The sequence below is a fragment of the Homo sapiens genome, chromosome 5, assembly GCF_000001405.40.
Source record: "Homo sapiens chromosome 5, GRCh38.p14 Primary Assembly".
Lineage (NCBI taxonomy): Eukaryota > Metazoa > Chordata > Mammalia > Primates > Hominidae > Homo > Homo sapiens.
In genome coordinates this window covers 117,638,070-117,652,426 of record NC_000005.10, presented here as the reverse complement: position 1 = coordinate 117,652,426, position 14,357 = coordinate 117,638,070, and positions in this window count along the sequence as shown.

Here is a 14,357-nt window from a genome sequence, read left to right as displayed (position 1 = left end):
GTTATACATTTCCCCTAACAATAAGATTTTCTATCATATACATTGCCTGGGGAATAGTAAATCATACATACAAAATCTGGTCCTGTATTTTACAGAGTGGGAAGTTTCACCCACTCACCGAGCCTGTAGCTTTGCTTATTTTAAATGTTTCCCAGTATCATCCCACACATGGGCTGCTGCTTTAGCCTACTGAATGGCTTCCTAACATATGCCTGGCCTTTCTCCAATCCATTTCTGCACACTGCTGTGAAAACTCATCTTCTAAAAATAGAGCTTTCACGAAGGTAGATATTGCTTTAAACACACACACACACACACACACACACACACAAATAGTATCTCTCAACTGCCTACAGAACAAAAATAATCTGTAATCTGCCTAGCCTGGCCTTAATAAATACTTGTAGTCAAACAGTTCAAATCCTGACTGCACTTACTAGAAGGCCTGGAGTAAGGGTAGTTACCTCTACTAGACTCAGTTTCTTCATCAGTAAAATGAAAATAATAATACCTAGGTCAGAGCATTGATTTAAAAAAGGTAATAATTAAGAAGTATTATCCACATAAGTCCAAACCATGGTTCAGTGTCTGGCTTGTAATAAGCTGTCAATAAACTATAGCCATTTCTCTGTTTTAATATAAATTAATACTTTGCTCAAATTCAGTTTTTCAAATCAAAACTCATTCAAACTCAGTTATTCTGCAAGTTCAAATTATATTTCTCTATCACTTACTGTTAGCCTATATGAATGCATTATTTAGTTTTCTTAACCTATTTATTTTCCATTTTACTTGTCTCTTTATTTCATTCATATTATTACCTCTTAATATATGCAATATGAATATATCTGCATGATCTAAGATGTGATGATATCTAGTAATATTAACCAAATTTAGATGTGCTTAGACAAAAGTTTTAAAAAAGGTATTGACCCATGCAACATATCTGGCAACAGCAGGCACAGCTGACCTTAGAGATGACTGAAAGCAGAGACTCTAAAATAACCAGGCTCTTGACTCTAGGAGTCAGCTTCATTCAGACCACCCATTTCCATGTCTTCGAAGCAGTGGAGACAGCAGGCCAAGGTTCTCAGCTTCTCATCTTTGTCACATAGGAGGGAAGGGCTCTTCGTTTTGGCTTATTCAAAATATCACAGAGTAAAGTTCTGATTGGCTGACCCATGGTCATGGGTCCAATCCAAAACCAGTAACTATGCTCAAGAAAATAGAGTACAATACATACCTGAAGATGATTCCCAGCCATCCCTGACTCTAGATGGCTGGGAGAAGGCAGGTTATTTAAGGAAATGGCAGCTCCTTTAGGGGCTATATATTATAGCGGGAGGGAGGACAAGTAGACTAATTCTACAAAATAAAGGGTGTGCTATTTCAAAATAAGTCTTGGGTACTTTAGGGAGAAAAAAGTCAAATGAGTAAATTACAAACTTAACCACAACTATCAATCAGTACAATTTTCAGTGGTTATATTTGGTAGATAATGTAGAAAATTCAAGAGAGTCTTATGTGAGTAATAAGCTTATGTCATTCTCATCCTAAAATTAAACTAAGTATTTAAACTTCTGGTTATTTATTAATCCCACAGGGTTCAAGCTTAGTTGTAGGTTAAGTTGCTTATTTTCCACTTCAGTGGTAAGAAATATCTAGAATTGGAAGATTACTTATGGCATTTACTGCCTACACATTGAACTGTATTTATGACTATGCTTTACACTTCTAAGCATTTAGTCATTGAGATTTGTTTTATTAATCTATTGTAGAAATTATGGCTGTTTTTATCCTACTCGTAACACAAATCAGCTCAATATCTGTTGTCTATCATTTTAGATCAGTTACTCAATACAAATAATTAGAAATGTGGTTTTCTTACAGACCCTCAAACCACTGATTTTTTATTAATCACTCAGCAAAAAAAAAAAAATGTGATTAAGAAAGAAGGCAACTAACATATTAAGAAGAAACCTGAGTTTAATGATTAATGCATTAACATTCCCTAACTCAGATTAGAAATGATCAACATTTTATGAATGTGAGTGTATGTGACAGCCAGCACAGGTGCAAGCCAGGTAGAAAGATCAGAGTCCCTAAAGGACCAGGGTGAGCCTTGGTGATAGAAAAACTGATGTGAGCTGTGGTCGAAAGTCTCTAACCCCCAGGGATTCTGGATTTCTGGCATTCATGCCTGTGTGTAATAATCCTGTCTCCCTGAGTGTGGACTAGACTTACTGATTCACTTCTGACAGGAATTGGCAGAAGAGACACGATGCCAACTCTTAGTTGGGTTATAAAAAGATTGCAACTTCCATCTGGGGTGATTTCTCTCATTTCTCCATCTAACTCTGTCTTTCTATCTCTCTCTCCATCTCATTACCAAGGCCAGGCGTAAGCCATATGAGTTAGCTTGGAAATAGACTCCCCCTGCTCAGTGGAACCTTCAGATGGGGCTGCAACTCCTGCCAACAGCTTGACTACAACTTCTTGAAAGAGCTTGAGCCAAAGGCTCCAGGCTAAATAACACCCAGATTCCCGAACCACAGAAACTCTCAGATAGTAAATATTTGTGTTTTTTTTTTAATGCTGACAAGTTTAAAAATAATATACAGTAATGGATAAGCAATTAAAATCAGAGCAAATTCTGATCATCTAATATGCATCCCAGTACAGCCTGCCACAGAGGAAAAACAATAATAACAGAAGTTGCTCAATTAAAGACAATTTAGTAATTTTTGTCTTTGAATTGTTCTCTCTACCACAGCTACCGTTTCTCACAGAGATTTAACCTTATTAAGACATATAATCTTGGCTTCTTACTAATATCTATAATCTTAGATTCTCTGGATTACTTTTAGGGACCAAATGATGAAAACATGAGATTTTCAAAAACATGTTGCATGCAAGATTAACACTAGTACCATGAAAAAATATGGTACTAGTGTTAATTTAATCCCTTTAAAATAAGGAAAATAATAATAAATACATAATACCAGCCATCTTAGAAAACACAACATTATTTTATTTAAATATTTATTTCTGTTTGTGTATATATTTGTATTTTTATTTTTGACATAATTATAATCACATGGGAAATTTTAAATGATCCAACTTTTTAATAAAAGTATTATTTATAAACCTTCACACATTTTAAAAACATTTTCTATATTTTTTTCTTATTTTAGATTTCAGGATGAAATTCTGGTTCAAAAGGCAGGAATCATTTTTTTAAAATATCTTTTATCCAAAACTATGTTTTTAAAAGGTAAGTAACCCACCTTTCCCCAGCTTTAATTTCTTATTTTCTTCACAATCAAGTAAGGTGACTCAAGATGACTTAAAAGGTCATGTTTAAAAAAAAATTCCTGGGCAGTGATTTACAAAAAATAGTAAAAGTTCTTCTCATAGCCATTTTGAAGACATAATATTGCTAGTGAGAAGTGTTATCACGTCATGTGGGCTCCTTCTACAAGTCTTTTATGTTATTATTTCTAGTTCTTAGAAACCACATTCTCCAAGTCTTTGCTATTGTGAAAAGTGCTGCAATAAACATACGTGTGCATGTGTCTTTATAGTGGGATGATTTATAATCCTTTGGGTATATACCCAGTAATGGGATTGCTGGGTCAAATGGTGTTTCTAGTTCCAGATCCTTGAGGAATCACCACACTGTCTTCCACAATGGTTGAACTAATTTACACTCCCAACAGTGTAAAAGCATTACTATTTCTCCACATCCTCTCCAGCATCTGTTGTTTCCTGACTTTTTTAATGATCACCATTCTAACTGGTATGAGATGGTAACTCATTGTGGATTTGATTTGCTTTTCTCTAATGACCAGTGAAGATAAGCTATTATTCATATGTTTGTTGGCCATATAAATGTCTTCTTTTGAAAAGTGTCTGTTCATAAAACCATCATTCTCAGTAAACTAACACAGGAACAGAAAACCAAACACCGCATGTTTTCATTCATAATTGGGATTTGAACAATGAGAACATATGGGCATGGGTAGAGGAATATCACACACTGGTGCCTGGAGGTGGGTGGGGAGCAAGGGGAGGGATAGCATTAGGAGAAATACCTAATGTAGATGATAGGTTGATGGGTGCAGCAAACCACCATGGCACATATATATACCTATATAACAAACCTGCATGTTCTGCACGTGTATCCCAGAACTTAAAATACAATAATAATTAAAAAAAAACACATTATCTAGAATTGCAGCCCTAATCCTACTTTGCCTGTCTTCAGCAATGTCAGTGAAATCTGGAAATCTCCATTTACTAAGACACAACAGAAAGAGTTTCTCACAATTTTAGGTGAAGAATTGTGTTAAGGAGACCTTCTTCTATCAAAGTATTCCTTCTGGGATTTCCATACTTTCTTTAATTTCTCTTCAATTATTTAAATCAGGTTTACTGAGGTATGATTTAAATATATTCCTTTTATTATACAGTTCAATGAAAGTTATTAATTATATAGTTATAAGCTTGACACAAGGAAGATTTATAATATTTCTATCACCCAAAGAAAGTTTCCTTGTACCCTTTGTAGACAATCCTTTCCTTACCCCACCCCCATCACTCAACCCCTGGCAAGCAGTGATCTGATTTCTGTCACTACAGTGTTGCTTTTTCCAAAATGTTATATGAATGGAATCATGTGGGCCTTTCTATCTAACTTGTTTCTCTCAGCATAATGCTTTTACATGTAAACATTTTGTTATATGTATCAGTAGTTTGCTCCTTTTTATCACTGAGGATTATTCCATTATATAGATGTAACACAATTTGTGTATCTACTTACCAGTTAATTGACATTTGGATTGTTTTCAGTTTGGGGAGGTTATGAACAAAGCTGCCATAACATTTAAGTATTTGTGAGTGGATATGCGTTTTGATTTCTCTTAGGTATATCTAGGTGTGAGGATGTTGAATTGTATGGAAAATGTATGTTTAAATTTATGAGAAACTGACAAAAATTTTCCAAAATAAGAGTAACATTTTGTATTCTCAGTTGTTCTACATTCTTACAAGCACTTGGTGTTGTTAGTCTTTTTGATTTTCACTATTCTAATATGTGTTTAGTAGTAATTCATCATGGTTTTACTGTACATTTCCATACGGCAAATGTTGGGTATCTTTTCACATGCTCACTTACAATGGTATATATTCTTTAATTATCTATTCAAATAACTTATTCATTTTAATTGGATCATTTGCTGTCTTATTTAGTCACAAGAATTTTTTATATCAAATTCTTTATTGATGTGTTTTTTAATGTAATTTCCCAGGGTGTATTATGTTTTCATCTTATTAATACTATCATTCAAAATGCAAGTGTTTTTCTGCATAATGAAATTGTTTGTCATTATTTTAAGTTTTATATACAGTAAAGATACCCCTAACTGCTAACTGCATTAACAGTTTTGCTTAACCTTAAATGTCAATAATTTTCTTCTGTTTCCTTCAGTAAATTTTAGTTTGAACTCTTACATTTAGGAGTACGCTTCATGTAGAATATAATTTTTTATATAATGTAAGGTGTCAATTTTCTTTTCCTTTCTCTTTTTTTTTCTGGGGAAGGGTTGGGTGGAGGGAGGACATGAGTATCTAATTGTTCCAACATCATTTGTGCTAAAGATTATTTGCATTGAATTACCTTGACACCTTGTTCAGAATGAATTGACAATGCATGTGAGAGCCTGTTTTTCAACTATTTATTCTGTTCTATAAATCCATATGCCTATTCTTAGGCCAATAACATATTTTTTGATTATCATAACTTTATAAAGTTTAAAATCAAATTAAACTTTGTTTTTATTTTTCAAAGTTGTTTTGCATACATACTCTGGATCCCTTCATATAAATGTTAGAATCAGTTTGTCAATTTCTACAAAAAAAGTGTATGTGATAAGGATTACATTGAATCTACAATATCAATTTGGGAAAAAATGAGAAGTTAACAATATTGAGTTTTCTAATCCATGAACATGGTAGTGGTCTCCATTTGTTTAGGTCTCCCTTAATTATTCTCAGCAATTGTTTTTAGAGATTAAATGTGGGAAAAAAGTCTCTAATATTCAATCTCTCTTCTTCCTCTTCTTCTTCCTCCTCCTCCTCTTCTTTTAATAGTTCTATGCATTTTTTCTTTCTGCACATGGAAATTTATATCTGGATTATACTTCTTCTGTTTAAAAAATGTCCTTTAATATTTGTTTTAAGGTAGACATGCTGGCAATGAATTAGCTCAGATATTGTTTGTCTGAAAAAGCTTTTATTTCACCTTTGTTTTAAAAGATACCCTTAACTAGTTATAGAATCCTGGTTCATATTTATTTTTCCTGAAAGTGAAAGAAATAATTCTTCCTCTCTTTCTCACACACACACGCAAGTGGAATTTTTATTTGATTAATTTTTATAACTTTTTTTCTCTGTCAAAATTCTTCACTTATTTTTATACATATTCTAACTTTCCCCCTATTTCTTATAACTTAACTAACTCTTTATAGATCCTTTTGAATAATTCCAAATCATTGGCTTTTCTTGGAGTCGATTTCTGTTAACTTTTTCTTTGGGTCCATTTCTGTTAACGTTTTTATCATTTAACTGTGTATCTTTTCCTCTACTCTTTGTGGTTCTCAATTTTTTTAAAAAAAATTAAACTCTGTACATGAGTGTAGGCAGACAGTCAAGTCAATAGTATTTAACTGTAGCAATTGGAATAGAACATGCCTCTTCTGTAAGGCTGTCAAAGTATGCATAGGTGTCAAGTCAATAAATTAATCTGGCAAGTAGTTAAACTGAGTTTACAAATGTGTTACTATGTTTGCATTCAGTGTATCATACTTACTTAAGCAGTGTACTGATATTATCTCATTTGGTTTGGTTCCTAGAGTGTCCCCAAATTTGTTTCAGGGTTCTTTTTCTATCCTCAGTTTTCAGGAGGCCCTACATGCTTACCCCACAGATGAGGTCTGCCTTTGTGCTCCTGTCCCTCCCAAGGGGTCAGTAACTGTTGTTTGTTATTTGCTGTGAGGTGTTTGTGGAATGTAATTTTTTTTTTTTTTTTTTTTTTTTTTTTTTTTTTTTTTGAGACGGAGTCTCGCTCTGTCACCCAGGCTGCAGTGCAGTTGCACCATCTCTGCTCACTGCAAGCTCCGCCTCCTGGGTTCACGCCATTCTCCTGCCTCAGCCTTCCAAGTAGTTGGGACTACAGGCGCCCGCCACCACGCCCGGCTAATTTTTTTTTTTTGTATTTTTAGTACAGACGGGGTTTCACCGTGTTAGCCAGGATGGTCTCGATCTCCTGACCTTGTGATCCGCCCGCCTCGGGCTCCCAAAGTGCTGGGATTACAGGCCTGAGCCACCGCGCCCGGCCAATGAGGTGGGTGGGGGGGGATGGGTGGGTTTGGTTCCTCTCCTCCAGGCTCAGATTGAGGCAGACCTTGAGCATTTGCGCCTTGGAGTGGAATTCCCTCACGTTTCAGCCACCACATGCACCCCCGGTGACAGCGAAATTTTGTCCAGTTATTGGGGGCAGGTGGAGAGAAAGGCTCAGTGTATTTTTTCCACCAGTGGTGGGAGCAGATATTTGCTTTTTTTCAATGCACGATCTTGAGCCCTAGCAAGTTTTTGGCCTCTTCCTAAGGCAGATGTTTTCTCTTCCTTCTTTCTCTCTTCTAATAGTAGCAAACCTCGCCTGAGCCTTTGGCATGAAAATATTTTTGAGTCCTCTCCCATCAGTGTAAACCTTTTGCTTTGAATAGGAGATGGATCTTGGAAAATAACAAGATTTTTTTTTCCTGTGTGATACCAAGGGGTGCTCTCACACATGTCTGCTGCCTTACCCACATTCTTTCCGGTAAACCAAAATAGAGACAGAGAAAAGAACTTGGCAAGTATGTGCAGACTTTCATTGAATATGGGAAGAATTAACTTTGTCACACTAACCATCACTAAGTCTTGAAGAACTTATTGAAATTTAGTTGTTTTCAACTTATCCCTTTTCAGGGAGCCACCTCTTCTTCTGGTACTCTATGATAAAACAGTCTATGTATCCCATTTCTCCATGGGTCTCATATCCTCTGAAATTCAGTTCACCTGGTTGCCTTGTAATCTCAGCTTTCTGATGGTCTCAAGAAAAATTATGATTTTGTAGATTGTTTGAATTTTTATTTTTGCTAGAATGGAATCAACAACATAGAAATATAATGCTTCCTCATTATATTTTGTTGTCACATCAAAGCAGCTAAAATACATATATATACACATATATACATATACATATATGTATATACACATATATACATATACATATATGTATATACACACATATACATATACATATATGTATATACACATATATACATATATACACACATATATACATATATACACATATATACATATATACACATATATACACACATATATACACATATACACATATATACACATATATACATATATACACATATATACACATATATACATATATATACACATATATACATATATATACACATATATATATATGGGTTTTCACTCTATATTGAAGGTAAAATGATAAAACAGTATAAGGAAAAGTAAGTTCATTCATTTTATTTTTTCTTTTTCCAGTTCCTATTTCATCTCAGACACATTTGTTTTCTTTTTGGGATGTCAAATCAAGAATACTCCCAGTTGCAATAATTTCCCTTTAAGGAGGAAAATAAAAACCTTTATGTTTGGGAAGATTTTTTCAAAATTTCCTTGGAAACCACATGATATTATTTTCCAGTCTGACCAAATGAATTGTTGCCTTGCTAACTATGGAAATTTTCCCTGTGCCCCATCCTGCCTGAGACGTTGATACACAATCAAAAGGAATATCAGCCAAAATATGTTGGAAGAGAGTTGTCATTGTCTTATAAATTTCCCAGCCAAAGTGGGAAGAAAAACAATACTGTTTTGACTCATTATCTCACCAATCCCAAATACTATGTAAGCCAGAGCATCTTCCCCTATAACGTCTGGTATATGTTTAAAATCCTGTGTCTCTATTGATATATTCACAGTGGAAAGCAGTGATACAAGGGAAAGATATATATGCGCTTCTATGAGGCATTTTTCTCCTAAAGTCCTGCCTTCAGCCACAAAAATATAGAAGTCCCCCCTATTAGCCCACCCAGAGGCAATCAACTCAAAATACCTTTTACAAATCCTTACTAATACTGGAAATGCCAATTTATCTATTTAAAATAAAATCATGACTAAAAGTCCTTACTTCTATATCTGGTATACTGGAGTTTCTGAATAAATATTGACTATTTTATCTGACATTATTATAATCATTTTTGTTTTTGTTGTTACTCTCATAACAAAAGATACACAGAAGCCAAAACAATGATTTGTTTTTGATGAGGCAAGCTAGAAAAAGTTGGCTGTCCACCCAAGTTCATGCTTCCTCTACAATAATATAGAGTAACTGCTGGGAGGTGTCTGTACAGTCACGAATTATATTGCCCAAACTCCCTGTATCTATGCATGATCACATGCATAATTCTCACCAATATAAGTAGAAGGGATGTATGTTGCTTTTAGGCCTAAGCATTTTAAAAGGCAGGTGCCTCTGCATACCTGCTCTCTCTCTTTTGTCTGGATTAAGATGCATGTTTGGCACACAAGGCCTGGGAAAGTTGCATGGTCAAGAACCTCATTGCTGCACTGTTGCATTAAGGATTGCCACCTAAGACTCTTTTGCAAGAAATAAACCTCTATTGTGTTTGAGCCTTTGCATATTTGGGAGTTTACTTATTACCTTAGCTAATTTTATCCTAACTAATACACTGTGTGTGGACTTCTCCAAAAATAATCTAGTAATCTGCAAACCATTATTGGTTCTTGGTTATTCAAATGTAGAAATTAAAGAATAAGAATTTAGGAAATGTATAACAATTAAACAATATACTTTTATATTTGCCAAGCAACATATTTTTTAAAGTTAAGCTTATATTGTGTATGTCTTTTATTTTTCTATTTTTATTGAATTTTGCAAAATATTGATCTACAATGGATTAGAAATTTTAAAAATAATCTTTTGTTTATTTTAGAAAAACATATTCATTTAATACAGATGGTTTGAATAGGACTTGACTAAAAGATTGCTCTAGTCCCTTACTGAAATAGTGTTCCCTTTCTGTTATACTCTTAGGCACCTGCTTCTAGCTAAGTAAACTATATCAGGATTCTCTCACTGAGACTTTTCAGGCTCACACTCCTCCATTCAAAGAATGAATCATTCTAACCAATTTAGCTTAACGTAAGTACCTTCTTGCAGGGAAGATTTTTGGCTATCAATAACAATTAATTTTAAATTTCATTCAGTTATTAAATTTTTACCTTCATTATTTACAATTGCCACTACTATCTCCTAAAACTGCATTAATTCTTATTAATTATAATAAAAATATCCATCTTTTTAACCATTGCCTGAATTACCTTCACCTAGCTCTTGTCTAACTTACTTGAGTTTCTCCATTTCCTCCAAAGCTCTCTGGCAACTTGCTAGCTATAAAATAAATGAAGTAGCTGCCATGGCCTCCTGTGGATTTCCAGTCCACAATGCTCTGCAGAGCTGTTCACCACAAGTATGTCTTTTCTCGCAGAGATTCTTGATTTAGATTATTTTAAATATTGAAAATAAACTTTTAAAAATTAAATATATTTATATATTTGCAATGTGGTTGATAATGTCTATTATGTAACAGTTATTTCAAAAATGTAACTTTTCCTTTAAACAATGAGGAGTGCACACCCAAGTACTAGGAGTGATAGGAAATGCAATATTTAATCAACAAAGTCTCTTCTCTCAATTCTCTTTTAATGCTAATTACTATGCTATAAGAGAGACAAATGTCCTAATATCCAATTATTTCACATATTGCATTGTAATATGCTTTAACATTTTTTTGCCTTCTTCAATAGGTGCTATTATGTTCCTCAAGTTCAGTGAAATGTTACCTTTTCTCTCTCTCTTTAAAAAATAGATATCTCTCATCTTCAGTTCCTATCATAGTACTTGGCATGTAACAGATATTCAATAAACCTATACTTTTTTAAGTTTTTGACCTGCTCTTTTGGAGACAAGAATCTTCACCTGAATATAGTGATAGTATCTCAAGGCTGGATAGCCATCTCCTCTACCACCTCAGGGCTGATAACTGTAGCCTAATAAAAGTGCCATGGTTTGCAGAGCCCGAGAGCTCTGGCTTCAAATGCTTGCTCTACTCTGCAGTCCTGAGTGAACTTGTTCATGCCGCTCAGCCTGTTTGAGCCTCAGTTCCCTCATCTGCTAAAATATACCCCTAAGGGTTTTATTATAGATACTAAATATAAGGTTTGTAAAGTATTTGGAAATCACTATACCAACAATGCAAAAGGACTATTTTTCATCTAGTCCAATTCCAGTTGTTTTATGCATGCTGCTGAGATCCAACAAAGAAGTATGACTTGTCTAAAACTCACCTGTGAGTTAATTTAGTAAAGATGGCCAAAAACATATTATTATCAGTACCAGCTTTATGGAGCTCTAGTCTCCTCTATAAAGATTAGTTCCCTTAAAGGTAAGACTTTTAAAGGTTGGGCACCTCAAATAGAAGCGTAAAGGAAAATGAAGGGAAATAATTGATTAAAAATATATTTGAGGTTATCAATGAAAAGTCAAAGCCCTTTCTCCTTCCCCAGAAAAGAAACCTCAAAATTGTTTTTCTAAGAATGACCTCCTAATCTGAAATCTTCCTTAGGCACTCCTGGGAAAAAAAATAGTTAATTATTTATGGGATGAAATGGAGAACAGTGTATATTCACGTCAGGTACATTTACACGTCAGAGAATATTTTATTTAATATCAATAAATGTGCAGGCTCATGAAAAAGCATATGCATAGCATGAAAGCACTCTTAAAATTTTCAGCTCAAGTTGTCATCATCCCCCCCACCAATTTTCCATTTACACATTTTTCTAACCCAGCCTCTTGCTCAGATTGCCCATGGTTGAACAGTGTTCCTTTCATCCTTTCTTTTCATTCAAATTTACTTCATGAGGGGATCTGGAAAGTAGTCAAGAGAAGCAAAGACAGCCAGTGTTTTTGTTTTTTTTTTTTTTTTTTGGCATGGCATGGGCTACCAACAAGAGACATTCTGGATTTCATACTCTTAATTTAGAATTTATTAGAATCACAGCAGATGTAACATTGTTGTACCTTGATAACCTCTGCATAGTTTAGAAAGACATGAAGTGTGTTTTTGTTTGTTTTTTGTTTTGTTTTTTAGAATGATGAAGCCAAATGCTTACAGATGCTAAAATAGCAGTATTGGAGAAGCCAGGAGCAATGTTAGGGACAAATCATATAAAAATGTAGAAATGTGTCTGTTTTCATTTTCCAGAAGCAGGAAATGGTGCCACAAGGGAAAGTCTGGTCTGCAGTGAGGTAAAAGAAGAAAAATAATAATATTGATTTGAGGTTATGTTGATGAAAGAAAAATAGTGGAAAGGAAAATATATGAAGGTCAGTGAGACTCACAAGAGGAGGCACTGCTCATAATTTTAATAGGTAAAGCCTGTCATCCTCTGTAGTCAGCTCTGTGATCCTTTCCAATTTTCTTATACATTATATTTCTCTGGTTGTAATCCTTTGCGTTGATATCTAGTAGCCACACACTTGCCTTTTCTGTTTCTCTCTGGACAGAGATACCAACATATGTGCAAGTTTTCCCATTACTACAAGCAGACTTCTTCCTTTAGATGAGGCTCTGTTTCCAGAGCTTCTAGCCAGGTCCATCTCAGGGTTCACCTAATTTTACTTTGGGTGAAGATATCCACTCTGGCTTAGCCTCGGTGATCTCCCTCCCTGAGGAATCCATGTAGTGATGAAAATCCTACTTTCCTTTGTATGTCCCGATATTTTCAGCTACATTTCTGTTAAGTAGAAAGTGCCCAGAGCTTCTTGACAGTGCCATTTTGGTAATACCCAACAACACCTAAAATTGGGCTAAGCACTAATGATACAATCTATAGTAAATGTTAGCCTGCAGGAAGTTTTTCATAAAAGGTAACAATTTAAATTGGTCTGGTGGAAATAAAAATAGGTAAATTCCTGCTGTTAAGGGTTTACAGTTTTCTGCAGGGGAAATGGTAGTTACGTGTCACTTTTCACATTGCAGACACTTATTTTTGTGTACTTGTATAAGGCACAAAGGAGCAGATTTGAGACAGAGGCTTTGCCTGGGAGAAGTTGGGAAATGTTTTATAGACACATTCTCTAAGACTAGTCTCATTTTTGTAAGAAGAACCATTATTTAATTTATTAGGCACTTTCTATATGCCAAGCACACTGTTAAGTATGTTTTATTTTCAATATGGGAAAGATAGTGTTATGTCCTCTAGCATTAGAACAATGATTAATCCTACAATGAGGGGAGGCAGACCAGGGATGGGAACACCGGATTCTACTTTCACAGCTTATGCCCAAATCCGAACCCTGCTGGCTGTGACTCCATGAGGCCCCCATCTGTTGAAGAGGTTACCAGGTAGAAAAGAGAGACAAGGTTCTAGGAACCCTTATTAAGGAGGTATCACCTCACCCACATTCTGAAAAGGGCAGCATGTGGTGTAGAATACACAGTATCAGAAAGGAAGTGCTTTTAAGATGGGCATGAATGGTGAACCAGTTCAATCTGGCTTTGTAGCCATTTGTTGTTAGCCTCCTCAGCACATATTCCCCCTTCATCTTCCTATCACAACCTTAAATTAACCAGACATAATATTTGCATGAAAAAAATCACCCACTATAGTAATGGGAATAGACCCAAATTTCACTGTACCAGTACACATATCCTAATTCCTCAACTATTATGGGAATATTATGTAGCTAAATTTAACCAGGTCAATGAGACTCAACTCTGAGACTTATATATGAGCTATGGGAAAAATAAAAGTTTATATTTCTTATTGAATGTAAATGAGGAGACAAATAGTCTCTGCTATGGGTGATAGCAATTTATGGCCTTGAGGGTAAAGCTTGCCTGAGATGGGGGTTAATAATGTGGTATCAGTCCTAAGAATGGAGAGATAGAAACTGGACATTGGTCATGTCATTTAGGTCATTGGTCAAAACTTACTTCAAGTTTTCATCTGTTTGAGCCAGCATATCCCTTTCATTATTTAAAGTTCAAGTTGGGTTATCTCGCAACTATAAACCTGTCAATTAATACTTCATAAGACTCAATGAAGCTGCAACTTTACAGAAATGGAAGTGGAGATGTTGATTTTCAGTATAAATAAGTGGAGCAAAGACATGC